This window comes from Homo sapiens, chromosome 13, assembly GCF_000001405.40.
Source record: "Homo sapiens chromosome 13, GRCh38.p14 Primary Assembly".
Lineage (NCBI taxonomy): Eukaryota > Metazoa > Chordata > Mammalia > Primates > Hominidae > Homo > Homo sapiens.
The window spans coordinates 92,015,448-92,041,787 of record NC_000013.11 but is presented as its reverse complement, the minus strand read 5'-3'; the positions used below and the strand labels follow the sequence as shown (position 1 = coordinate 92,041,787).

Genomic DNA, 26,340 nt, shown 5'->3' with positions numbered 1-26,340 from the left:
CTTTCGTCGAGTGTTGTTTCATGTTGAAGAATGGAACACTGTGGGAGCTGGCACCTTCTTTCTGGCCTCTTGCTAGCACCATAGCAGTGGATGAATAAAGGCGTAATCATTACTTTTACTTAGACTTATGGTATTAATCCACAACTCCAACACCTGGCAGCTCAGTTCATAACAATCACTTGAATGGACACAGCTTTAGGGGGGCAGGCAGTTTTCTAGACTGTCAGGGATGAGTGTGACTTTATTTTTAGGCCTGGTTTCCTATAAGACACCCCTGGGTTAAAGTTGATTATTGTTCAGTGTTTTGTCAGAAGTTAAATGCAAGCACCTTGTACAAGTGAGTCTTCTGCCCGTCAAGGTCAGTGTGAGGTTGGGAGATGCTTTCAAGTCGGCCTCACATTCTGTTCTGATTACTCCTGATGTGGTTTAGACTAGTACGTGATCACATCCTTCCCAACCTTCAGGGTTAATTGTTATCCTCAAAGACTCTTCTGGTTTTCTGCTATTTTGATTGTACAGTAAGCCCTCACTTAACATTGTTGACAGGTTCTTGAAAAATGCAACTTTTTGCATTTGTGAAATGATGTACAATGAAATCACTTTTACTATTGTTTAATTCATATAAATAAGAGTTAAAGTCGGGTGTGGTGGCTCATGCCTGTAATCTCAGCACTTTGGGAGGCCGAGAAGGGTGGATCACCTGAGGTCAGGAGTTCAAGACCAGCCTGGCCAACATGGTGAAACCCTGTCTCTCCTAAAAATACAAAAAATTATCCGGGTGTGGTGGCACATGCCTGTAATCCCAGGTACTCGGGAGGCTGAGGCAGGAGAATTGCTTGAACCCAGGAGGTGGAGGTTGCAGTGAGCTGAGGTCCTGCCATTGCACGGCAGCCTGGGTAACAAAAGCAAAACTTTGTCTCAATAAATAAATAAATAAGAGTTAAATTCCTGCAGCATAATTGTGCTCACAAAAACATCACCAAACTTCTAAATAAAGACCCCAAACACTTCAAATGTTAAACACAGAAATAGGTTTGAGCTATACATACGTTTGATAAAGATGACTAAAAACAGAATTATTTCCCCAATTTTTGGCGAATCAGGAGTAATGGCAGTTGTAGCAGCAGTGGGTTAAAGGAGTAAATGTTTGCAAAGTGGAAATTGTAAGGAGCACCTTCTCCCACCACAGGTTTCAAAACCAAAGGAGAAATAGGGTGGGCTCACTGGGCACCTTCATTCCACCCGGTTTATTTTTGTGCATTTGTGTAATTATCGTAGACTACATGAATTTTTATTTTACAATACTTTGTATTCATGCATTCATTCATTTTCTAACCGGCTTACTGCTTTTCTGGTGGCCAGGCCTTGAGCCACTCCCTACAGCTCAGGGTGCAAGGTGGGAACCTGCCCTGGTTAGGACACCATTCTATTGCGGCGCACACTCACACACACCCCAGTCACTCAGATGGGGGAACGTTTAGTTAGCAGATGCACTTAACGTGCACCTCTTTGGGCTGAGAGAGGAAACCAGAGACTGGCGAAAACCCACATAGCTGGGGAGAAAGTGCAAACTCCACACATACCGTGGCCCTGGCTAGGAATTGATTTTTTTCCCCCATCAATGTTATAATGAAACAATTTTGAACAAAATGATGTTATTTGAGGATTATGTTGTATTATGGAACTAAGAGGCTCATTTTAATTACTCTCCACCAACATCCTCATTGTTTTTGTCAACATCCTTAAGCACAGAGTTTTCCATGTTCTGTTTCAAATAAAATCAGTCCCCTTGGCAGAGCTGTGGAGTGGGTTATGATTCAAACGATATTACAGGCTGAACTGTGCCTTTCCTCAAAACTCACGTGTTGAAGTCCTAACCCAAAGACCTCAAAATGTGACTGTATTTGAAAATAAGGCCTTTAAAGAGGTAATTAAGGTAAAACGAATTCATATGGGTTGGCCTTAATCCAATATGACTGATTTTATTTCAAGAAGAGGAAATTTGAACAGACATGTGCACACACATAGAAAAAAAAACACGTGAAGGTATAGCCAGAAGGCAGCCATTCATTGTGAGCCAAGGAGCGAAGCATCAGAAATCAATCTACCCATACCTCGATCTCATGCATTTACCCTCCAGAAATATGAGAACAATTTGTATTATTTAAGCGACCCTGCCTGTGGTAGTTTGTTATGGCAGCTCCAACAGCCTAATACAGCAACCAACTTTTGCTGATCTTAGTGAAACTTAGTAGATTTTCTTGAACTAATATTTCCTTACTTGCTTATGCCTTTAGCACAATTTACAGAGACATTAAATGAGTGTTGGAGTTTCTAATCATTATTGTAAAATTTCCAACAGTTACACTGCTGTTATGATGAGGAGAGGGTTTACTGAATTCCCGATCCCAACGTTATAGAAGTCCTGCTGCCTCTTCTACTCTGTTCCATCATTTTCCACTCTCTACTGATAATTTCCATTGGCACACAAACATCCTGTTACTTTTTCTATTTTAAAAAACACAGTAAAAGAGAAAACGGAAAACATAATAACAACTTTTCTTTATCCAGCTTCTTCCAATTCTTACTCCGAATTTTGGCAACAATCTTCAGACAGAATGACCAGAGCCACAGGCTCCAATGCTCCTCTTGTCTTTCTCTCCCAAACCCACTGCAGTCTGGCTTTACTCCCACTACACTTCCTAAATTGCTCTGATCAAGTCACCAATTATTTCTTTCTTGCTTAATAGAAAATTTCAAACATCTCCTTAAGTGAATTACCAGCAAGATTTCACATAGCTAATCATTCTTTCCTCTGATATCCTTTCTTCATTTGACTTCAAAGAAAACACACACACATGGTTTTTCTGCCACCTCCTTAGATGCGTTCTTCTCAGTTTAATGAGTCTGTTTCTCCATTTTTCATCTACTTTTTAATGTTAGAGCTTCCTGGGGTCCTGACTGTGTTCTTTTCACTTCTCTGTTTGCATTCGCTCATTTGGTAACCCATTCTTTTTCAAGGTATTGAGTAATACATATATGCCAAAGACATGTCAAATATATGTATATACTATCTATCTATCTATCTATCTATCTATCTATCTATCTATCTATATAGATTTGTACTAAAGTGTTTATTGTACATTGAGGGAGAAATATTCATCAGGCATTTGGTGTATAAGACAGGAGTTTATGAGCATGATCTATACTATAGTAATGAATATATATAGTATATATAATATAGGAATATATATAGTTTATTGTACATTGAGGAGGAAATATTCATTAAGCACTTGGTGTATAAGACTGGAGTTTATGAGCATGATCTATACTACATAGATCTATACTATACAGAGTTGAACATCCCATGCCCCACCCAAACAGGGATCGATCTATCTATCTACCTATCTATCTATCTATCTATCTATCTATCTATCTAGCATAGATCATGCTCATAAACTCCAATCTTATACACCAAGTGCCTAATGAATATTTCTCCCTCAATGTACAAATGAAAACTTTAGTACCGATCTCTGATAACCCAAAACTTGTTACACCACAGTAGTCGCACCTGGGTGTCAATGCCATCATTCCAGATTTAAAGTGACCCTTAATTCCTCTCTTTCTCTAATATCCTATAGGAAATCTAACAGAAATTCCTGTCATGACTATCTTTTAAATATATCCATAAGCCAATCACATGCCACCACCTCTGCTGCTAACACTTAGTGCCACTGCCGTCATATTTCACCTCAATACTGTCAATAACCTAAGTGGGTTTCTCTGTATCTACCCTTATCACGGTCACCATTAGGCTATTCTTATCAAAGCAGCCAGAACGATCATTTTTAGATATAAGGAAGGTCCTATGATTCTCCTGAAATCTGCTCAAAATCTTCTAGTATCTGCCCATGTTACTCAGAGTAAAATCCAAAGTTTTTCAAAGGCCCAAAATTAATATAAACACCTGTGTATAAGCAAATGAGGGTTTCTTAAATCCACTATGGCAGGATAAATTTATATTTGCCATCTAAGTTTCACACAGGATAATGGTTCATACTGTGAGCTTTTAAATAGTTGGTTTATAGGTTTCAGGGATTTATGTAGTCATTTACTGAATTCATATTTATTAAGGACTCCCCCTGTGCCAGTCAGGCACTATTCTAGGCCCTAGCAATTTAGTAAAGAATCTAAATCCCATATCTCAGGGAGTTTACCTTCCAGCGGGGTAAATGCAAATCAAACAAATAAATATATACTATAATATCAGGAAATAGTACATGCTATTAAGAAAACAAATCAAGGTCAATATATAGAAATAATGGTGATGAGGTTTACAAGGTTCATGTTAAATAAAGCAGTCAGGGAAGACTTCTTAGAGAGGTGACTGTAAAACAGGTCCTTGAATAAAGTATGAAAGCAAGTCTCCTGAATAGCTGAGGGAAATAGTTTTACAGTCTCAGGGAGCAGCAAGTATAAAGGCCCTAAGGTAGAAATACACTTGGTATTTTGGAGGAATAGCAAGAAAATCAGTGAGATGGTAAATAAGTAAGCAAGGTGTGTGTGCACGCATACGTGTGTGTGTGTGTATGAGCATGTGTGTGCACGCAGACATCATGAAAAAGGTAGAAGACAAAGTCAGAGAGTTAGGCAATAGACAGAATATAAAAGTCCTTAGAAGAAAGAGACAGAGTTTGGTTATTTGTGAGCATAATGGGAAATCATTGGAAGATTAGAGCAAATAAATGGCATGAATTGAATTACATTTTTAAAAAATACCATTTTGACTGCTCCTTGAAAAACTGACTACAAAAAGGTAAGGAAGGAGTAGGAAGGTACTTCAGAGACTACTATAGTATTTTAAGTTGGAGGGAGTAAAGAATTGTACTAGATCACTATAGGAAGAGTTAGAGAGAAATACTGGATGGTGGTTATATACTGAAGGTACTAGTTAACTAATGAAGACAAGTATAACAGATCTTTGTTAACTAATTCTTGTTCTGAGCAACTGCATAAACACTCATACAATATACAGAGATGTTTAAGGCTGGAGTAGGAGCAGATACAGGGAAAAATAAAGAGTTGTGTTTGAGAGATGTTAAGTGTGAGTTACTACTTTGACATCCATGTTGAGGGAGGAGTCAACAGAAACTCAGTAGAAAGGTTATTAAATATTAAGTGTGGAGAACAAAATAAAGTTTGAAGCAAAATCTATTTCACAGCAAAACTAAAGCTTATGTTAATTTTCTTATCATGCCTTGATTCAAACAGCTTGAAATCAACTTCTGTTTTTATAATGCATGACCCTTATAATGAGCACATAAGAGGAATCAAGAAAGCGCCTTGAGAATTTATTTTATAATATTTGCTATAACTTGATCAGAAATATGCTATTTATTTTGGCCAGTAACTAGACATCAAAGCACCTTCTGTAAATGTAGAATTGTTATAACACTATCCCATAAAATGATATCTTTGCCCAGCTTTGCTTCATTTATTTTGCATCCAATTATAGAAGGAACATGAAACAGATAAATAGCAATGCTGTAAAACCATTAATATGTCAAATTCATAGCAAAAGACTGTTTGATGTATAAGCAATCAGCGATGAGAAAACCCTGCTTGATCAAAAACTTCCTGTTAATCAAGACTAATAGACAACAGACTAATAAATAATCTCTGACACAGAAAAGGCAGCCACATTTAACTGGAAGATGGATTTTACATATGGTTGATGTGATAGAACTATCAAACTAAAAACAACCCCGGGGGCCAGTTTGAATATTCATTTATCAGCCTTACTTTGGATTTAACCTATAATGCAACTGTCAATGAACAAATGGGCTTTTGTGGAAAAGGTGATAAACAAAATCCAATGAATTGGCAATTTGGAAAGTCTTGAAAGAGAATAAATGCTGTAAGATTAAAAACTGAATGGAAGACTTGAGCTCAGATCTCTGCAGGGAAGACAAAAAGCTTCTCACTAAATCAGGTAGCTTTGGTGAACATTGTTTTTTTTGTTTTTTTTTTTTAACATTTCCTCAGAAAGAAACATCTGCCATGCTAGCAATACATTTTAAGAAATTTTTTGAAGAAGGCTTAAATTTTTAATACTCTTATTTTCTACAGCAATTGAAAAGACAGTCTGTATATAAATGGATTATTTTTTCAGTTCAAAAATGGCTAATCTCATTTCCTGGATGAGATGATTTATACAAAATGTACAAAGAGATGGTTTTCTGTAAAGGCAGAGAAATAAGGTTCTTGATCAATACCAGTGGGAGAACTGACACAAACAGAAATAGTGTAGTGATCCCAACTAAAATGCCAATTGGGACAAGACAGTTAACAAACGATCAGAGCACCCTGTGTGTAAAAGCAAAATAAAAGACATATAAACAAAATAAAATCTATGCCAAGAACTCCAACACAATGCTAGTGTAACTGACACTGCCAGGGAGAGGAAGTAATGGGAGAATCGGAGCTGAGAAGAGCTGAACGTCCCGTGCCCCGTGTCATCTTGGAACAGGTTCCAGTTTTGCCTCATCTCTAAACTTTTTTTTTTTTTTTTTTGAGACGGAGTCTCGCTCTGTCGCCCAGGCTGGAGTGTAGTGGCGCCATCTCTGCTCACTGCAAGCCCCGCCTCCCGGGTTCACGCCATTCTCCTGCCTCAGCCTCCCGAGTAGCTGGGACAACAGGCGCCTGCCATCACAACACAAAAGTCAACTCGAATGTTTACATGAGATTTACCAACTATTTCAATATTAGTTATGAAATTCAAAGGTATTTAAATACTGTGTAAGCAACTATTTTATGTGTCAAACCAACCATGAATCTTGATGGAATTCAGCTAAGTGGGCCTCTTTTATTGAGGAAGTAAAATTTACCATAATAGAACATGAAGTCTATGATACGTACATGTCTTCAGAGGTAACATACACAGATGCCAAAGCAAATAATTACCAAACAATTTTTAGAGTTACATAATGTTACGCTTTCTTAAATTTAAGCTAAGATCCACTGAAAGTATAACATTATATGAATTTTTTCTTTAAAAATCAACACTCATCATCAATAAAATATGCAAACAGGAGAGGACATGAAATAAAAGTGTATAATTTAACATAATAAATATAAAGTGAACATACAGGTAAGCATCTTTCAATTCAGAGGCCCCCATTGTATCCATTCCTATCAAATCTCCTGCCCTTGCACTAGTAGAAATGACTCTCTTATTAACTTTACCGTATTTTTTATTACTTTGCTTTCCTTTTTTTAAATTTTATTTTGAGATGGAGTTTCACTCTTGTTGCCCAGGCTGGAGTGCAGTGGCACTATCTCGGCTCACTGCAACCTCTGCCTCCTGGGTTCAAGTGATTCTCCTGCCTGAGCCTCCCAAATAGCTGGGATTACAGGCATCCACCACCATGCTGAGCTAATTTTTTTGTATTTTTAGTAGAGATGGGGTTTCACCATGTTGACCAGGCTGGTCTTGAACTCCTGACCTGAAGTGATCCACCCGCCTCAGCCTCCCAAAGTGCTGAGATTACAGACGTGAGCCGCTGCACCTGGCCTGCTTTCCTTTTGATTTTATTATACATCCATAAATAATTTAGTTTGCCATATTAAATTATAGATTTTTTATGAATGAGGTTATAGTATATGTATGATTTTGTTTCTTGTTTTGTTAGCATTAGAAATCCATTGTGTTGGAGGATTTTTAGCTGTCACTCTTTCCTTTTCTTTGCTGTATAGTATTCCATGTAATGAACACACCATAATTTATTCATTAATTTATATCTTAATGGAAAAATATGTTGTTTAAAATTATTGGTTATTACAAAACAATTCCCTTGTTTTTCAAATGACGAAATTAAGGCCGGTGGTCACAACTATTAGTGGCCAGCTAAGTTAACATTCCCTTGTTTCATGCCTTGTAAATTACTGGGATTTCTACCAGTCTAGTCTGTGTTATTGGCAGTTCCTACTGAAGGGAATGCAGACTCCGCCCTATATCAAGATCAATGCTCAAACTGAGGAAGGAAATCTATTTCTGCTTAAACATCAGGCAGTTAAAAGCATCCCATATAACTTAATTAAATTTACTCTTCAGAATCTTGTTTTACTAATATTGACACTGAAAAATCTGGGGGAGAGGGAAAAAACCCTAACGTCTTACATATTTAAAAGATATAAATATTGCCTGAAAATTAGATTGATTGTATCATGTACAGTACATAATTTTTCAACCTCCAACAAAGGAAGTGGCAATCTGTCTTCCTGGTATGTTCAGTGGGAATAATGTAACTAATGTATCCATTTAGTTGGACACAGAAGACGGTGGTAAATTTCCTTGTGAAGAGCAAGGTCTAATGAGAGTACTTTGTGACAGATCAGGTAAGATATCTTGTATTTCTTGAACCTCATGACACTGGCATTAAGATACAAACTTTGAGTAAGATATTGTATTACATGTCTCTGAGATTTTTTCCAACTCTAATACTCATTCCTTTATTCTAAAAATATTTATTGAGACTCAATTCTGTGCCAGATCCTTTGGAAAGCACTTGGCTAAGATTTTGAACAAAATCAAATACTCTATTTACTCAAGTTATAGGCTTTGGAGGTTGAGATATAAACAAATGATCCCACTCAGAAATACATCATTCCTAAAAAGTGCCCTGAAGGAAACTGATATGGTTCAATGAGAAGCACACACACACACACACACACACACACACACACACACACGACAATAACTAGCCCGGGCAGAAGAACAACAGGGCTGCTTCCCTGAGGAGGTAGTACTGGAGATAGCGCTAAGCATAATTTGGGGTTAACATAGGCAAGGAGTAAACCAGTCCAGGGAGAAAGAGATGCTTGGATAGATGTGTATGGAAGAAACACTGGCATGATCAAGGAACTGATGCCTGTAGTGTGACAGATGGGCAGAGAATGGGGGAGAAATCATGCATCCTGAAGCTTGAGAGAAACAGACAATGTGGGCCTCCTTGGCCATGTTAAGGACTTTAGCGTCGTTCCATTGCTGTCTGGTAAGAGGACAGAGAGGGCATTGAATTTATAGTGGTACAAATTTGTGTGCTTTAGTTACAATACAGGACACACACAGGCAATGCCTTAGATACATAGTAAGAAAATAGGTGATAAGCAGATCTTAATGCTGGATCAGGGACAGGGTGAGACCACGTTTTAGGTCATGTGAAACTGGAAGAAGAGACAAGCCACTCACTTGGTTGAAAAATACTGAAGCAAACTTATATTAGTGCAGGGAGGAGGTAAAAAGTTGAGTTTTCTTGTTTTTGTTTCTGTTTTTTTTTTTTAAATTTTTATTTCCATAGGTTTGGGGGGAAACGGGTGGTATTTGGTTACACGAGTCAGTTCTTTAGTGGTGATTTCTAAGATTTTGGTGCATCCATCACCCAAGCAGTACACACTGAACTCAATTTGTAGTCTTTTATCCCTAACCCCTGTCACCCTTTCCCCGGAGTCCCCAAAGTACATTGTATCATTGTATTCTTATGCCTTTGCAATCTCATAGCTTAGCTCCCACTTGTGAGTGAGAACATAGGATGTTTGGTTTTCCATTCCTGAGTTACTTCACTTAGAATAATGGTCCCCAGTTCCATCCAGGTTGCTGTGAATGCCATTAATTTGTTCCTTTTTATGGCTGAGTAGTATTCCATCAGATATATTATATATACATAATATATATATTTTATATATATAAATTTTTATATATTTTATATATATTATATATTATATACAATTATTTGTATATAATATATGTAATGAATATATATTATATAATATATCTGATGGAATACTATGTAATATATAAAATACATATATTTATAATATATAATATATAAAATATAATATATAAAATATATGTTATATATAATATATATATTATATATAATATGTAATATATTATATATTATATATAATATGTAATATATTATATATTATATATAATATGTAATATATTATATATTATATATAATATGTAATATAATATATATTATATATAATATGTAATATATTACATATATGTAATATATATAATATATTATATATACTATATATATATTATATATACCACAATTTCTTTATCTGCTAATTGATTAATGGGCATTTGGGCTGGTTCCATATTTTTGCAATTGCAAATTGTTCCTTACTCCTGCAAGAATGGCCATAATAAAAAAAGAAAGAAAGAAAGAATAGATGTTGGTGTGGATGCGGTGAAAAGGGAACACTTCTACACTGCTTGTGGGAATATAAACTAGTACAATCACTATGGAAAACAGTGTGAAGATTCCTTAAAGAACTAAAAGTAGAACCACCATTTGATTCAGCAATCCCACTACTGGGTATGTGCCCAGAGGAAAATAAGTCATTACATGAAAAAGTTTGGTTTTCTATACCTTTGTGACCTCCAGTCTGGACCTCAAAGGTGAAGTCAGAGTTGGAAGTAGACGTTTGGTATTCAAAGACAGGAAGATGGTAATGAAGCATAAGATACCTCAAGGAGAGAACACGCAGCTAAAAGAAAAAGAGGTTTTAAGGGTAAGCCTGAGGAAATACATCGCGCAATGGCTGAGTAAGGCACATGAACCTGAATGGGGATGGGTAAGAAGCGGGTAGGGAAATAAGACAGAAACCAGTAGGCCATGGTGTTATAGAAGCCAAGAGAAAAGAATGTGCCAGAAATCAAATGAGGGATCACAAAGAGGGACCAAAACCTGTAAAAAGGCCATGAAAAATTTTTATAGGACTTTGTTCTTAGCTCAGCTAAAAACAGGGTCCTTGTCACACGGCCAGGACAGATTAGGCTCCCAGACACTTTGAAGGGTGAGTAAAATGGAATTTATTGGGCAAAAAGAAAAAAACTCAGCAGAGCGAGAGAGGTTCCTGTTAACAGGCCCACGTCTCAAAGATTGAATCCCCAGGTAACCACCCCAAAACAGGAGACGCCAGGCTCTTCCCCGCTGCAAATGGCGCAAACTTCCTGAGGCTCTACGCCAGTGCGCACTTGTCCCAGTAGACGGGCCAGTCTTCAGGGTCCTCTTTGTACTTGGCTGTCTCAATATGAATGCTGAGAATGTCTACTAGATACAGTGGCAGAGTCACTGGTGACCTTAATAGAACAGTTTGTGGGGAGTGTTAGGGCAGAAGCCTTAGAGAGTTGTGATATATGTAGGGAAAGGAGACAAAATGGAGGCAGTGCTTATAGACAACACTTTAAGGAACTTTGGGGAGAAATGAGATGACTGTTATTGAACCTGCATGGTGTTTGTTTCTAATCTGGAAAGAGTTAAAGTTATTAAGAAGGGCGTAAGATCTAAAATAATTATAGGGCCTGAGAAATAATGAGGGATTACATCAACGAATGCAACAGAAAGAAGAGGAAAGGATGGTGGAGAACATAACAGAACTTAACAGGAAAGGGTGGTGGAGAACATAACAGGTAAGACTGCAACTATTGGAACAGGAAATTCATGAGTCCCCAACTGAGGGCTTCATTTTTCTCTGGTCTTATGCTATGGACAGAGAGTCAGAAAGTTATGAAACTATTTTTTTCAGTACTAGTGAGGTTTTTCAAAACATCTTCAATTAATACCCTTCTTTTCTTTCTGTTCAATATTTGTACTGCTGCTGTTCAGTCAGCAAAATTATACTGGATACTTTCATACAATGTTTAATTGGATGTATTTCTGATGTTAGTGAAAATTCTCAGGAGGTATTGTGCATTTCTGTTCTCTGATATGGTCGATAATCTTTATGATTCCAAACAATTCTCCTAGTACTTTTTCTTTCAGTTTCCTTCGGTAAGGAACGGATTCATGGTTAATTTTCTGTAGGCTGTATTAGGGTGTCTGAGGCTGTCACATTTGATATTTAATGTGAAGGAGACTGGCATACCTCATCTGTTTTACTACATCCCTGTGGAAACATCAAGCTGATGTTTGAGATTACATCAGTCAAGATCCATCCAAGAAAACAGAAACCATTCTAAGTGTTTGAAGTTCAGGGAATTCAACCCAGGGAGTTGGTTAAACAGGTGAAAGAAAAACCAAGAAATCAAACAGCAATGAGTCAACCTATACATTAATCGCATAGTAAATCACACTCTCCTCAAACCTAGAGAAACAAATGGAGAAGACAGGGGTGTCAAGAGTTTACCCATCAAAAGCTGGAAACACTGGGCTTGCCCAGAAGGAGCTGGAGCCCAGAAAGTGGTTCAGATGCTGTTGAACCCGAGAAGTTGTCCAAGGTGGAAGAAGTGAGAGAAAAGAGCCTGGCTTCTCCCTTCTAGCTTGATTATGAAACTTGCAGATGACCCTCCCCTGCCATCTCAAGACACAACGTACAGCAGTTGAATGTCAAGAAATGAATGTGACAACGCAAGCCAAATACCACTTAGAGGTTAACTGAACTCTATAACATTGTCAAAATTTCATAGAACATCAGTTTTGAGGACCTGATGCATTTCTGTAAGTTTCATACCTAGTGCATGTTCATTATGGTATAGAGGCTCAAGCAATGGCATTTTCCCCCTTCTTTTTTCTTCCTCACAAAGATGACTTGTTTTATCCACTTTACCCCACTACCTGTGTAATGATTTCTAAACGGTGATACTGAGCTAGTAAAAAATATCTTCAAGAAATTAGATAAATATATAGATTTCCAGGTCATATGAGAAAGTTTGAGTTAAGGCTCACAAGTCTGAATTTAAATAAAACCAAACAAACACAAGTGATTTTAATGAAGTGTTGTACTAGTGAAGCCAGGTTCAGGGAACAAATATAATCATACTGGGACACATTCTACTGTATATGAATTTCTTGCCACCAACATCCTGGAATATAACTCTAGTCTTTGTTCTGGCTCCATTGATAGCTTCCCACATCATAAATCAGGATACAGCCTTTCAACTCTCACTAGGGAGACTTGCTTTTTTTATTATAATAATTTGGAAACTAAATAATTTTGCTCTGTTTTTCCCATTCCTCTCTATCTCATTCTTACCACAGATATTCAAAAGAGTTAGTAGAGTGACAAGATTATATTTTAAGTGAACTTTGTTTTAAGGTAGAAGTGCTCAATATTAAAAGACAAACAAACAAAATACAAACATAAAATATGAAGTAAACGTTAGGCTGAAATCCGAAGCCAAATAAAGCACATGATAAATGATTCAGTGAAATTACCCAGCACAAATACATTTTAGATTCTTTTTCAGAGGAAACCCACTGAATTCGACAATTAGAAATTAATTTGGGAGACGGTCACCTGAAATTAAAAGAAAATTATTCAGCATAATAGCAATTCAAGAACTACTTTGTCCTTCCCTATAGAAGCACAACACTCTAACAGAAGTATAAATGATGTAACAGACAGCATTTGAATCCAATTACTAAGCTCCATATGCTATATGATATTTAAACAGCTGGACCTGCTGTTTCTATATTAAATAATTTATTTTTAACAGGTTTATGATTTATAGTAGTGTTACTGATTTAATGAGTCATAAGAAGTTCGTTTTTATCTTGCAAGATTCCCCCTCCCGTGCAAGCAGGTATAAACCATTTAAAAAAATGTTAATCATCATATAATGTTCGGTTTTGAAATACGGATTAAAACAGAAAGTCAGCTAAGCATCTCTACTTATCATTAGGAATCCACCAGCAGTCTGTAGTAGTATTTCCCTCCAAATTTACCCCAATGTTATTGACATTTACTTTTTACTAACCTCTATATTTCAAAAGCAATTTGAGGAGTTAGCTTAATTCCAGTTTTGTTATATATCAGTCATGTCCATTTTGATGAAAAAATATTTTGCATATCGATGTTTTAGGTGGGATGGGATAAGACATATTGGTATTTGGTGGGGAAGGAAGGTAGTCTTGTCACTGAGCAAGTGACTGTTGTGTGCAGTGTTGGATCTGCCACCTACTCCTTACTGGTTATCTCAGGGATGTCCATTCACTGCTTTTATTCATCTATTATGTTGTTAAGTGAATGGGTAAGTTTACTGCCTTTGCAATGAGAAATTGTGTAAATTCCCTTCAAAAAGTCTGGGAAGTCATGGGAGATGGTTAAAAACAAAATTAGTTAAAGGTATTCAGATTCAGTCCTTTCAACTGTTAAATAGCTATAATAATCCCTACCCCAGAGACTTACAGAGACATTGTGGAAATGAAGTTAGATAATACGATAAAATGCTTGTGAAATCACCTTGTACATTTCAAACACTGAACAGAATGTCCTCACTTAAGGTCAATAGTTTCTTGAAAACCGTGACTTTAACCAAAACAATGTACAGCAGGGCCTCAAATATTGTAATTTCCTTCAATATTGTCATTTCATTATAATTTTGATGAGAAAAAAATTGGTTTTGTTTTACATCACTTTGCTTAAAGTCACAGTTTCCAAGAACCTATCAACAATGTTAAGTGAGAACATAATGTACAATGTACAGGCAGTTTTCCCTTTAGCTAAAAAATCAGCATATGTGGAAATTAAAACCACCAAAAGTATTTTCTTTCATTGATAGCTCTATAATTCCTTTATTTCAACTTTCTCCTGAAAGGAAAATATGTACTTATTAATGTTGGAGATAAAACACCAGATATGACTCAATTATTTTCACATGAATCTTTTATGATTTCAACAAAGACTTGTTTTACAATTTAATTCATTGGTGACTGTAAAATCTAGTCAATTTTGCTTAGGTTACTGCAATGCTTGCATCCAGCTGTGAAGATAGTGGCAGGCTATGCACTGATCACTCAAATAAATATTTAAATGAAATTCTTAGAACATTCTGTTAAAATTGCTAAATACCCATGGAATCAAAACAAATCACTTGACACCTAGCCATCTGAAATTTTTAGACTCATAGTTTTGAAACATGTTGGTAGAAGGAATCTTTGTTATGGACACAGAGCTAGTTTTCCTATTTCACCTCCGAAAATGTGGTAAGCTATATATATCTAGCCACCAATACAGTGTTTCCAACTAATATCAGTTTTCACCAATAATAATTTTTCATTAATCCTGATAAGAGCAAAGACTTTTTTAACAACATATTCTCACTAGATCTTATGACTGGCAACACTGGAGTAGGTATGCTTAAGAAAAATAAAGTATCAATATAATTCAATTATAAAATAGGATAATTTTTTATAAGGTAGCTGGACCTCATTATTTGCATGGCTCTGTAGTCACTCAGATCCTGCAAGTTCTATGATTAATGATTCAATTAAATATCTTCTTGGCCTGCTGCTTAGCTCAGTACAAAAAAAAAAAAGAAAAAAGAAAAAAATCCCTATTTCATAAGATACCTTTAAGTAGGGTCTATGTTTACCTTAGTAAAAGTATTGAGAACTCTGTTTTGCTTAGAATTTACTTTAAAAAAATAGTCAGTCTGGTTTTGGACTTAGGAATTTATAATCTAATACATATATTATCAAATATGCAAAATATAGAAATATTTATGTAAAGAAACTATACATTATTAATAATTTGCATATGTTATGAATAAAATATCTGAATAAAATTTTTGTTCCCACAATAATATGTACCACTTCTCTAGAAAAACAAGGATTTAGAACACTTTAAGAAGGAAAGACAGGTATGCTGGAAAAACATTCTTAGTTCTTTGATCCCCTTGTCTTTACTTAAAAGCAATCATTTTTGTTACAATTCTACTCCTGCTCGGAAGTGCTGTGGAAGTACTGTTTATAATTAGAGATCATTCAGATCTGTCCAGGATCCAGTATTTTATTGCAATAGTTTTCTTAAAATTATTTTTTCACACCAATTTTGATTCAAAACAGCCCAAGAATCAAGACATTCACAAAAACTGACTTTACTACAGCATTTTTCTGTTACATATGAAAATGTATGTATACACCACTGCCTCAGATAATTTTAAAAAGAATGATTTAGCTATGCATTACCAGAAATATCAAGGATCATATTGAATTATGGTTGTATATAAAGAGATAATCATCTACAATAATAAGTAAAACCAAGACTTATAATGGACATGCATATACTACACCAAAGACGATGGAAGTGTCTCATGGACAAAAAGGGTACAAAATCCCTCTTTCTGTACACGCACTGGCAAGTGCTGACACAGTTGGGCCAATTCTTTGAGATCCTTACTTTCATTTCATAGTTTACACTACATGACCTGCAGCAAGCCAGACCCCAGCAACAGCTTCACTGACTACTTCCGACATGGAATTCTCACTACTTTGTCCGCTTATCTGCTTATGAGCTGATGGACTTTCTCCATCAGCTGGGCATGAGGAAGTGAAGGGAAGAAAACTAATGAAAACTAAATTTTAGACAGTTCCTTTCCTCCTTCTGAAATTTTTAGTCTTTCTCTGTGTACACAGAAGTGTTTTGGGGGAGAGATCAGGGGTGGAAGAGAAGAGAAAAAAAGAATCACTTTAAAAGCCTTATCTTTGTCTTTTGTTCTTGAGATCTGTGTAGTCTTGGGAAAAGCTGTCCAACTATAAATTGTTAAGAATCTTAACTAGAATTTACTTAAAATCAAATATAACAATAAAGAATAGAGTGAAGCAGCCATATTCTGGCATATTCTGGCCAAAAGGGGGCTTAAAGAAAAAAAGAAACAAAAAGAAAGGGGGAGGCAAAAATATGGTAAGTGAAGACAGTAACAGAAGAAAGGGTAGAGATTAGTTCCTAAATACTTTTGCCACTGAAGGTTTCATTTTAGAAAGGCTGTTTTTGATGTATGATGACAGGGAATAGATCTGAGTAAGCATGATGACTTTCAACTCTACTCACAAATTTAATAAAATCCTAAGGGATCATAAACTGGCAGCTGCTTTGTGAAAATGAAATGCTAATGTTCACAATTATAATTTTTATACCCATAGCCATAAAATATATAAAAGTATTAGGTTCTTTTCTAATGCAATACATGTATGATTTATGTGTATTACAGCAGATTAAATCTTTTGAGGTAAGAGGGGAATAAAAAGCACCAATAAGTATGTGTTTGGTCATTTGAAATATGCCTCCACAGTTTCATCTCAAAAGTACTTAAGTAGATAAACATCTATTTGGAGGTAAGAATAAGAGGAACATTTTACCTGAGGCAAGAATCTTAATATACCACTCTAAAAACAGAGAGAGAGTCATGACAGTATTGCATGCTGCTGACATTTTAAACAATGTGAGATAAGAATAGAAACAGTTTTACATGTTAAGAAAGTTTATTACAGATCATGCTGATATGTTAAAAAGCTTTTATAAAGGAAAGAAATAGGGGAAAGTGGGGAACCACCGATGTGTTAAGAGATGGAGGGAGAGAGGTCTGGACAATGACCGCAATGAAACCATGAATAACTGTATTTCCATTGGCAGTAAATTATCACAGATTAGAGAACTAGAAATCATTAATGGATTTCTGGATCCAAACAGAACAGCAGTGCCAATACAGTGTTTAAAAACTGAAAATATATAAAACAAAAAGAAAAGTTTCCTACAATATGTCTAGGGGGTAATATGAGTGAAAATGGATGGATTCACAGGACTGTGCAACCAAATCAAAGAAGAAAGCATAGCCCTCTTTCTGAAATTAAATATTGATTCATTAATATATTAGGCACCATAATTGAGGCTTATGGGCCTGGGCCTCAGAATATAGCCTTAAATTCTGGCCCTACAGTTTAAGACACATATAATCCTGTGTAAATCATTTCACTTTCTTAAGCCATGTTTTTCATTTGTGAAATGGGTACAATAATGTCACCTCATAGGATGTCTATGGGAATTAAATCAACTTAATTTTTAAAACAATTCACAAAGTACCTGGAACTTATTGTCAATAAGTGACTTGATTCTACTTATTGAGTGAATTCTATGTAAACAAGTCTTGGGAATAATTTTGAAAGGCTCCATGTAAAATGTAGGTTATTTCCCAAGACTGACTAAAATGGTTTGAGGATACTAAATAGATCAATACAAAAATATATTTCTATTGATAAATAAACTTGACTAAAATAAATTTATAAGAGAGAGAGAGAGTGTGTGTGTGTGTGTGTGTGTGTGTGTGTCCTCAGCAAAGGAGGATTTTTAAGGACAAAAAGATCTAAGTTTCAATTAAAATATCACAGACACACCAAGTATGGAATCTCAATCTTAGCTGAATAACTCCAAAATCATAATAAAATGTAAGTACTTCTCATTTGCTGAGAATAACAGCAAATGACAGTTTTATTCATTTCTGGTATAAAATGTTCAAGTTCATTTAATGAACCATGATATTCCTTAATACACCTAGTGAACACAAATTTGACCATTACTTTTTAAGCAATTTTGTATATATAGCATTAATTTTTCTTGACAGATGAGGAAAGGTACATGTAGTATGAACAAATAAAAATTTTACTTGGAAAAATTATTTTTAGGATCCTTTTGCTTAACTTCTGTTTGATTTATGACGTCTTCCAATTGTTCATGATGTAATTTGATTTGAGACAATATAAAAAAAATTGACCAGATCCTAACTAGAAGTCTCAAGTAAATAGAGGAAACTGAGAAAGAAATATATCCATGTAATGTGCAGACACATGAAAATTTCTTGGAAAACTTAACACTGTCATCACTTTGTTTATTCTAAAACATTTCTGAGATGCTGTTAGGTATTATAATAGGCACTGAGAGAGTTTAAAGTAAGTGAAACAGAGTCAAATATTTTATTAATCGTAATATTAACATTCTATAAACACACAGAACAGTATCTTAGGAAAATATAGTGTTATACTCTGTATAAAGAAGCACTAAATTAAAAATTAATTGAAACAGAGCATTCCTCTTTCTTAATTTGTTTAATAATTAACAAATATTTGAGTAATTATTATTTAATATCATACGCTTATTTTTAAGACCTCATTTCCCCTTATTTATATCAAGGATGTTATTTTACAACATTCTATAAAGGAATGCTAACAATTAAAATGATTATCTCCCACTTACAGATTAAAGTTATTTTATATTTGGGGCTGATTTTGAAAATTCTAGGAGTTTTAGTTGTAAAAGTAGTAGATATTAAAAGATATAACCTAAGCACTCTTTTACCTTTAAAAGTAACTACAGGTCCTAATATTTTATTATTTAATTTTTTATTAAAATGTATTCAAATATTTTAATATATGCTTTTATTTATTAAACACACAATTATTAAGATCCACCATGTACCTGACTCAATGTAATTTCACAGGCATACAGAGATGAATAAGACAGTCTATGTCTTTGAGGTACTTACAAGCAAAGGAAGCCAACACCTGTTTAGGCTTCACCCTTTTAAACTATTCCCAGTCTATTCATATGTTATTTTTACTTTTAGTAGTCTAATCCTATAGACTAAAACCGGCTTCAAGAATCTCCCCCACAACTGCTATACAATCAAAAGATTTCTGGGCCAGGCACGGTGGCTCACCCCTGTAATCCTAGCACTTTGGGATGCCAAGGCGGGTGTATCACTTGAGGTCAGGAGTTTGAGACCAGCCTGGCCAACATGGCAAAATCCCATCTCTACTAAAAAATACAAAAATTAGCTGGGTGTGGTAGCACGTGCCTATAAATCCAGCTACTCGGGAGGCTGAGGCTGGAGAATCACTTGAACCTGGGAGGCGGTGGTTGCAGTGAACCGAGATCATACCACTGCACTCCAGCCTGGGCAACAGACCGAGACTCTGTCTGAAAAAAATAAATAAATACAATAAAATAAATAACAAAAAACAAGCAAAAATTTTCTGAAATAAATCAATGTTCCTCACTATAGCAAAATTGCGTGTGCTTAAAAGTGAATTCTGGACAGTTTGACTAATAATCTAAATGATTATTATTGGAATGGTGGATGTAGCTTAAAAAGAGAAAGGGAAAATCTGAAATTTCTAAATGGATTGGCATAGATGAACATTTCTCATTTTGGATCTGTTTATATGGATTTATACAAACTATACTATAAATATTAAAACCCAGATAGATAAATGGATAAAGCCTATTGTTAGGCTATTGACAGAAGTAGAATTATAACTGATATTCTTATGAAAATAGCTGTAAGTAGGATTTTTATTTTATTTTGGAAAGAACACTTAATATGATCTAGCCTCTTAACAAAAGTTTAAGTGGACAACGCATTATTGTTGACCACAGGTGCAATGTTATACAGCAAATCTGTAGAGCTTATTCATCCTGCCTGACTGAAAGTTTATACCCACTGATTAGAACCTTCCCAGTTCCCTGCACCTGGCCTGGCCATCATCATTCTACTCTTTCACCCCATGCTTTTGACTACTTAGATATCTCATATAAGTGGAATCACACAGGATTTGTCTTTCTGTGACTGGCTTCTATTATTTAGCATAATGTCCTCTAGGCTCATCCATGCTGTCACGTATTGTAGAATTTCCTTTTTAAATGCTGAATAGTATCCCATTTCATGTATATACCATACTTTCTTTATCTGTTCATCTGTTGATGGGGATTTATTTGTTTCCAAATCATAGCTATTATGAACAATGCTGGTAATATCTCTTCAAGATCCTAATTTCAATTCTTTTGAATAAATCCTGTTGAATAAATCCTCAGAAGTGGAATTTCTGGATCATATGGTAGTTTTACACAATTTAGGAGAAAATAGTTTCTTCAACAAATGGTGTTGAAAACTGGATACCAACATGCAAAAGAATGAAATTAGACCCTTATTTTATGGCGTACACAAAAATCAACTCAAAATGCATTAAAGACTTAAACGTATGACCTAAAACTGTAAAATTGCTAGGAGAAAATCTTCATGCCATCGGTCTTGGCAATGATTTCACGAATATGATACCAAAAACATAGGCAACAGAAACAAAAATACACAAGTAGGATTGTAACAAATTAAAAATCTTCTTTACAGTAGAGGAAGCAATTAACAGAGTGAAAAGGCAATCTACAGAATGGGTGACAATATTTGCAAGCCATATATTTGTTAAGGAGTTAATCTTCAAATTCTATGAGAAGTTCATAATAGTAAAAAAAAAAAAAAAGAATAAACTAATAAAAAATTGGACTAAGGATTTGAACACACATTTCTCCAAAGAAAATATACAAATGGCCAACAGGTATATAAATAGAATGCTCAGGTATATGAATAGAATGCTCAGTGTCACTAATCATCAGAGAAACCAAAAACCACAATGAGATATCATTTCACACCTGTTAGATGGCTATGATGAAAAAAAAATAGACAAGTGTTGGTGAGGAGGTAGAAAGCCTGAAACTGTTGCACACTGTTGGTGAGAATGTAAATTGGTGTAACAGCTATAGATTAATTTGTCTCTTAACAACAAACTTAAAAATTCCTTGCATTAAGCAGAATAATGGTTCCTAGAGATGTCTCCTTCCTAATCCCCAGGTCTGTGAATGTGGTAGGTTATGTAGATTAAGGATAAAAGTTGCAGATGGAATTAAGCTTGGTAATCAGCTGAGTTTAAAATAGGGAGATTAAATAGGATTTTACAGCTGGTGAAATTACAAGCTTTCTTAAAAGTAGAAGAGAGACAGAGCAGAGTCAAAGAAAGAAATAGGACTATGAAAGAAGGCTCAGAGAAATGCAATGTTGCTGGTTTTGAAAATGAAGAAAGCAGACTATGAGACAAGGAATATGAGTGGTCTCTAGAAGATGGAAAAGGCAAAGAAATGAATTCTTCTCTAGAGCCTCTGGAAATAAACATAGCCCTACCAATAACTTGATTTTAGCTCAGAGATACTCATATCAAACTTCCAATCTCCAGAATTATAAGATAATAATTTGTTGTTTTAAGCCACCATGTTAGTGGCAATTTGTTATCACACCAAATAGAAAACTAATGAATTATTCAAAGTAGCAAAATTAGCCACTATACATGAAATAAAGTGAATGCCAAAAGAAAATGAAAAAGTACAGTTCTATTCTTTCATTTTTGTTTAGAGTCCAAGGAATGTCCCACCAAATGCCATCTCTTTTATCTATACAAATTTATTTTGGTTATTATTGATCCCACATAAACCTAAAACATTTTATTGGCCAGAAACATGCATCATAGTGATATAATTAGCTCTCCATTTTAACACTGGAAAGTCTCTAGTGGACATTTTAGACCAGCCTGTTCACAGCTGAATCACCACTTAGACACAGAGAAACATGAGCAACAGAGATTCATATTATATTCTGCATGAATTTGTTCTCTTACTTTAGGTTCATATTTTGTAGTCATGTAAGATGTAGCAAAAAAGAAGTAAGATTTGGATTATTTTCCTTCAAATTATATACACACACACATTCACATACACCTATGCAATATTCAATAATCTGTTACAATCACGTACATAAGCTGTGTCTTCTATATTAAAGACCAATATTTCTGGAACTTATTTATAGACAGATAATAGTAAAACGTTCAGAAATATGGATATAAGTATGCTTATATACTTATGCATACTTATATATTAAGCTATAATATATAGAGCTTAATATATATAGAGAGAGAGTATGTGTATGTAATAACTTGAAGGAAATATTAATTGGAGAGTATAAGGCAATAATAAATAACAACACATATCCTTAAAAAGGCACTTGATTTTATTAGCATATATGTATATTTTAGTAAAATTAATGTGTTTCCAATGTAATGTGTTTCTTAATTCTCTTTCAGTAGAAACAATATCGAACATACACCAATATTTTATTATTGATTAAGTACCAAAGAATCTAACAATATTTAGGAAGATACTAATGAAACCGTTAGTGTGCCTTCTACCATATTCATGATTTTAAGTTTAAGCATCAAAGTTTGCTCTGCATCCTTTAGTTTTTGTGTTGGGTTTCAAACAAGGAATTATTTTCATAAAAATGATTTTGTTATAGAAATGTACTTTTATATTTATTGGCATATACTATTGAAAAATATCCTGAATTCTTAGTGATTATTTATGATTATAACTAATTATAAAAACCCATATCATAGAAAAAAGGACCTATTAAAAATACTGAAGAATTTGAAAATCTTGATTTCTAGTTACGTATTTTTAATGACATCTTTTGAATTCTTCAGAATTTGAGCTTTTTTCTTAAACTTCACTTAAATATATAATGACATAAACTGCTCCCCCACCACCCCAGAGATTGAGGATGATTAGAAGCATAAAATATTTGAATTTGGTTATCCTGTGTTGTTTTTCTTTTTTTAAGTACCATTCAAACACAAATATTGAATAAAAAACAGGCACGTTACGTTTTGTTTCTGTCCTAGGAGATGGGATAATATTAGATTTCCTCTTATTTCCCTCTTCCTTATATAGTCGAACTCCCCAAAATTCTGTTCATATCTACATAAAGCCATTAAACTAAACTTTTTAGGTGAAACCTTTTTTTAAACATACACATATAAAAATATTTTTTACTATTTTATAATCTGAGGATATTATGGAATCCAAGGCATATACTAATTGGATGCTGAAACAATTTTAAAAAGACTTACTTATTGTAAAAAATAAATGCCTACCTTTGGTAGGCATTTATGCAATTCTCAAAGAGCTGTTGCACCGGGGTTGCATTTCATTAGCAATGAATTTGGCAATTCTGAGAATTTGCTCCAGATACCAGTTCTTTAAAAAGCCCTCAGCCACTAAAGGCCCAGGTGTTTTGTGGAAGCTTGTGTGTGTGTGTACTCGTGCATGTGTATGTGTGTACTCGTGTGTGTGTGTGTGTACTCGTGCTGCACGTGTATGTACTCGTGCATGTGTATGTGTGCATTTTGTGGAAGTGTGTATGTACTCATGCACGTGTACGTGTGTATTTTGTGGAAGTGTAGGTACTCATGCACGCGTATGTGTGTATTTTGTGGAAGTGTGTATGTGTGTGCTCATGCGTGTGTGTACTCATGCGTGTGTGTACTCATGCGTGTGTGTGTACTCATGCACGTGTGTGTTTATTTTGTGGAAGTGTGTGTGTACTTGTGCATGTGTGTGTGTACTTGTGCACATGTATAGACACACATGGGTCTTATGATTTCTAAAAGGCACTGTGCACTGATTATATGCCATCCACTGAATCATATTTTTATATGAATTTTCTTTTTAATACAGAAGTTCAACATCTTATAATATTATTTGGAACTTTAAAAATGTGAGTTGACCGACCAGCTCTCAGAAAGGTGGGGACTTTATGTATAAAACAAACATAAGACAACCCTGAAGTCTGAAGAAATGATAACCTGCCAAAGGACACTGTGGCATGAAGGATGACTTGGCAGTGAGTTATTTGGGTTTTGTTTTTGCATCACTTATCCCAGATTGAATGCTGGAAAAGCCAGAAAACCGGGATGACCAATGAGTACAGGCAGAAAAAAAGAGCCAGCTCTCTCTACCTAAGAACCAGAAAAGGATCAGCCTACCAAAACAGAAAATATTAAACAATAACATATCACTAGGAAAAGTCAGTGGAAGTCCTAGATCTCCACTCTTACCAGGTTGTAATGAGTTGGTTCAGCCACCAGCCTCAGCACTCTTGGTGTCCGAGGATGCTAGGTGGAAAACCAACCTTTATTCCTGCTAGAGAGTAAAGAGCCCCTACACCACAACCACCAACTCCACCACGCCACCACAGTGTAAAAGGATACCTCATGGGTTGGTGTAGAGATTCCCAACACCACCCAGCATCGACAGGCCATTGTTCCCCTCTCTGCTAAAGTCTTGTCAAAAGAAATGTAGTGGAGACAGTACTTTCACCATTGTCCAGAGGTAATGAGGCCACTGTACTCCCTATAATATCAGTAGAGGCCATTGGGAAATAGTAACAAAGCATTCCTACTCTTCCCAGGCAGGATGATATTAGTGGAGACTCGGCTGAAGAGGAGAACTGAGTGAACCCAGAAGGCGGAGGTTGCAGTGAGCCAAGATCGCACCACTGCACTCCAGCCTTGGTGACAGAGCAAAACTCTGGCTCAAAAGAAAAAAAAAAAAAGAAGAAAAGAAAATAAGAGAAAACATTTTTATTTTACAGGATTTTAGTTAAAATGGCTGTCAAAATAACACTCAAATATGAAACCACATTCAAAGAGCCTATATTGATTCACACCATTTAAAAGCTTAGGCGTGTATTGGCAGTAATACATTAAGCACAGAAAGGTGCATAAATATGTGTAGAATCAAGCATATGAAATCAAAAACAAGAAAGAAAATAAAATTTAGAATCAGAAGTTGAATTATAGGTCATCCACCCTAAATTCTTGCTTATAACAATTACAGGGTCACTAGAACATGGCAAATCTCAACATTACTGTCACGTAGCTGTGAGCCTTTAGATAAGATGATTCATTCCGAAAAGCTTCCAATTTGTTTCCTGCAGAATAAAGACAACGATTCCCATTTCATAAAACAATGTATAAATAATATATGAAAAACATGTATAACATTATGTCTGACATATTGGAAATACTGAAGAAATGGTAGACATTTCATTATAAATTCTTTTTCTTTTTCCTCTGCTACCCTTTCCACCAAAAGTCTGTACTTCAAGTTCCATAGCGTGCATTTGACATTGAAAAGTGCAAGCTGCTCTCCCAGTAACCACTTTCTTGACCCGATTCTTATCTAAATGTGGTCATGTACTAATTATTGCCACTGCAGAGGTAAATGGAAGTGATGTGTATCAGAATAAAAACTTCAGAAGTGATTGTGCCTTTTCCACTTATTTCCCTGCACTGCAGAATTACTGCATGAAGAAATGCACCCATCATCCAGAAGCAGTAGAGTAGATTGTTGTATGGACAATATATAAGCTATTTTTTGTGTAAGCATTTAAAAGTAAATAAAAGAGATGTTCAGTGAGGTATATTTCAACTCCCAAAATAATTCTATTCATTCATTTATCTGCTTGGCATTTGTTGCAACAATAATTGCTATATATACATAACTGAATCTGAAATAGTTTGTAAAAGATGTGTGGGATAGATGGAGATTGAAAAAAATTAAGCACCTGAAAATCTGTCACATGAAAAAGTTATTCCACCTACAGAATTAAAAAGCTTACTAGGCACAAAATATAAGCTCTTAGTTTGAATTCTACTAATTTGTGACTTACGGGAGATAACTTGATCTCTTTGAGTTTTACTACCTCTCAATAACAAATAAAAACAGTAAACACTAGGTAGTGTAGATAAAAATGTATCTACAATATGCCCATTTGCTTTTCAATTTACTTACTTTTATGTAGTTTTCCTTTTGTAGGAGAAGAGGGACCTG

General features: G+C 35.1%; 1 protein-coding gene across 3 annotated transcripts in view; it reads right to left on the bottom strand.

The window, feature by feature from the left end:
- GPC5 (glypican 5) overlaps window positions 1-26,340 on the bottom strand; it is a 1,468,617-nt gene that overhangs the window by 825,450 nt on the left and 616,827 nt on the right. The window contains exon 7 of one of the 3 annotated variants that reach the window (XM_011521054.4): window positions 25,074-25,438. The exons of the other annotated variants lie outside the window; for them this stretch is intronic. Within the exon in view, the coding sequence (XP_011519356.1) occupies window positions 25,397-25,438 (42 nt within the window). The 3' untranslated portion in view covers window positions 25,074-25,396. Of the gene's footprint in view, window positions 1-25,073; window positions 25,439-26,340 lie in introns of those variants that run through there. 3 annotated transcript variants of the gene reach the window in all.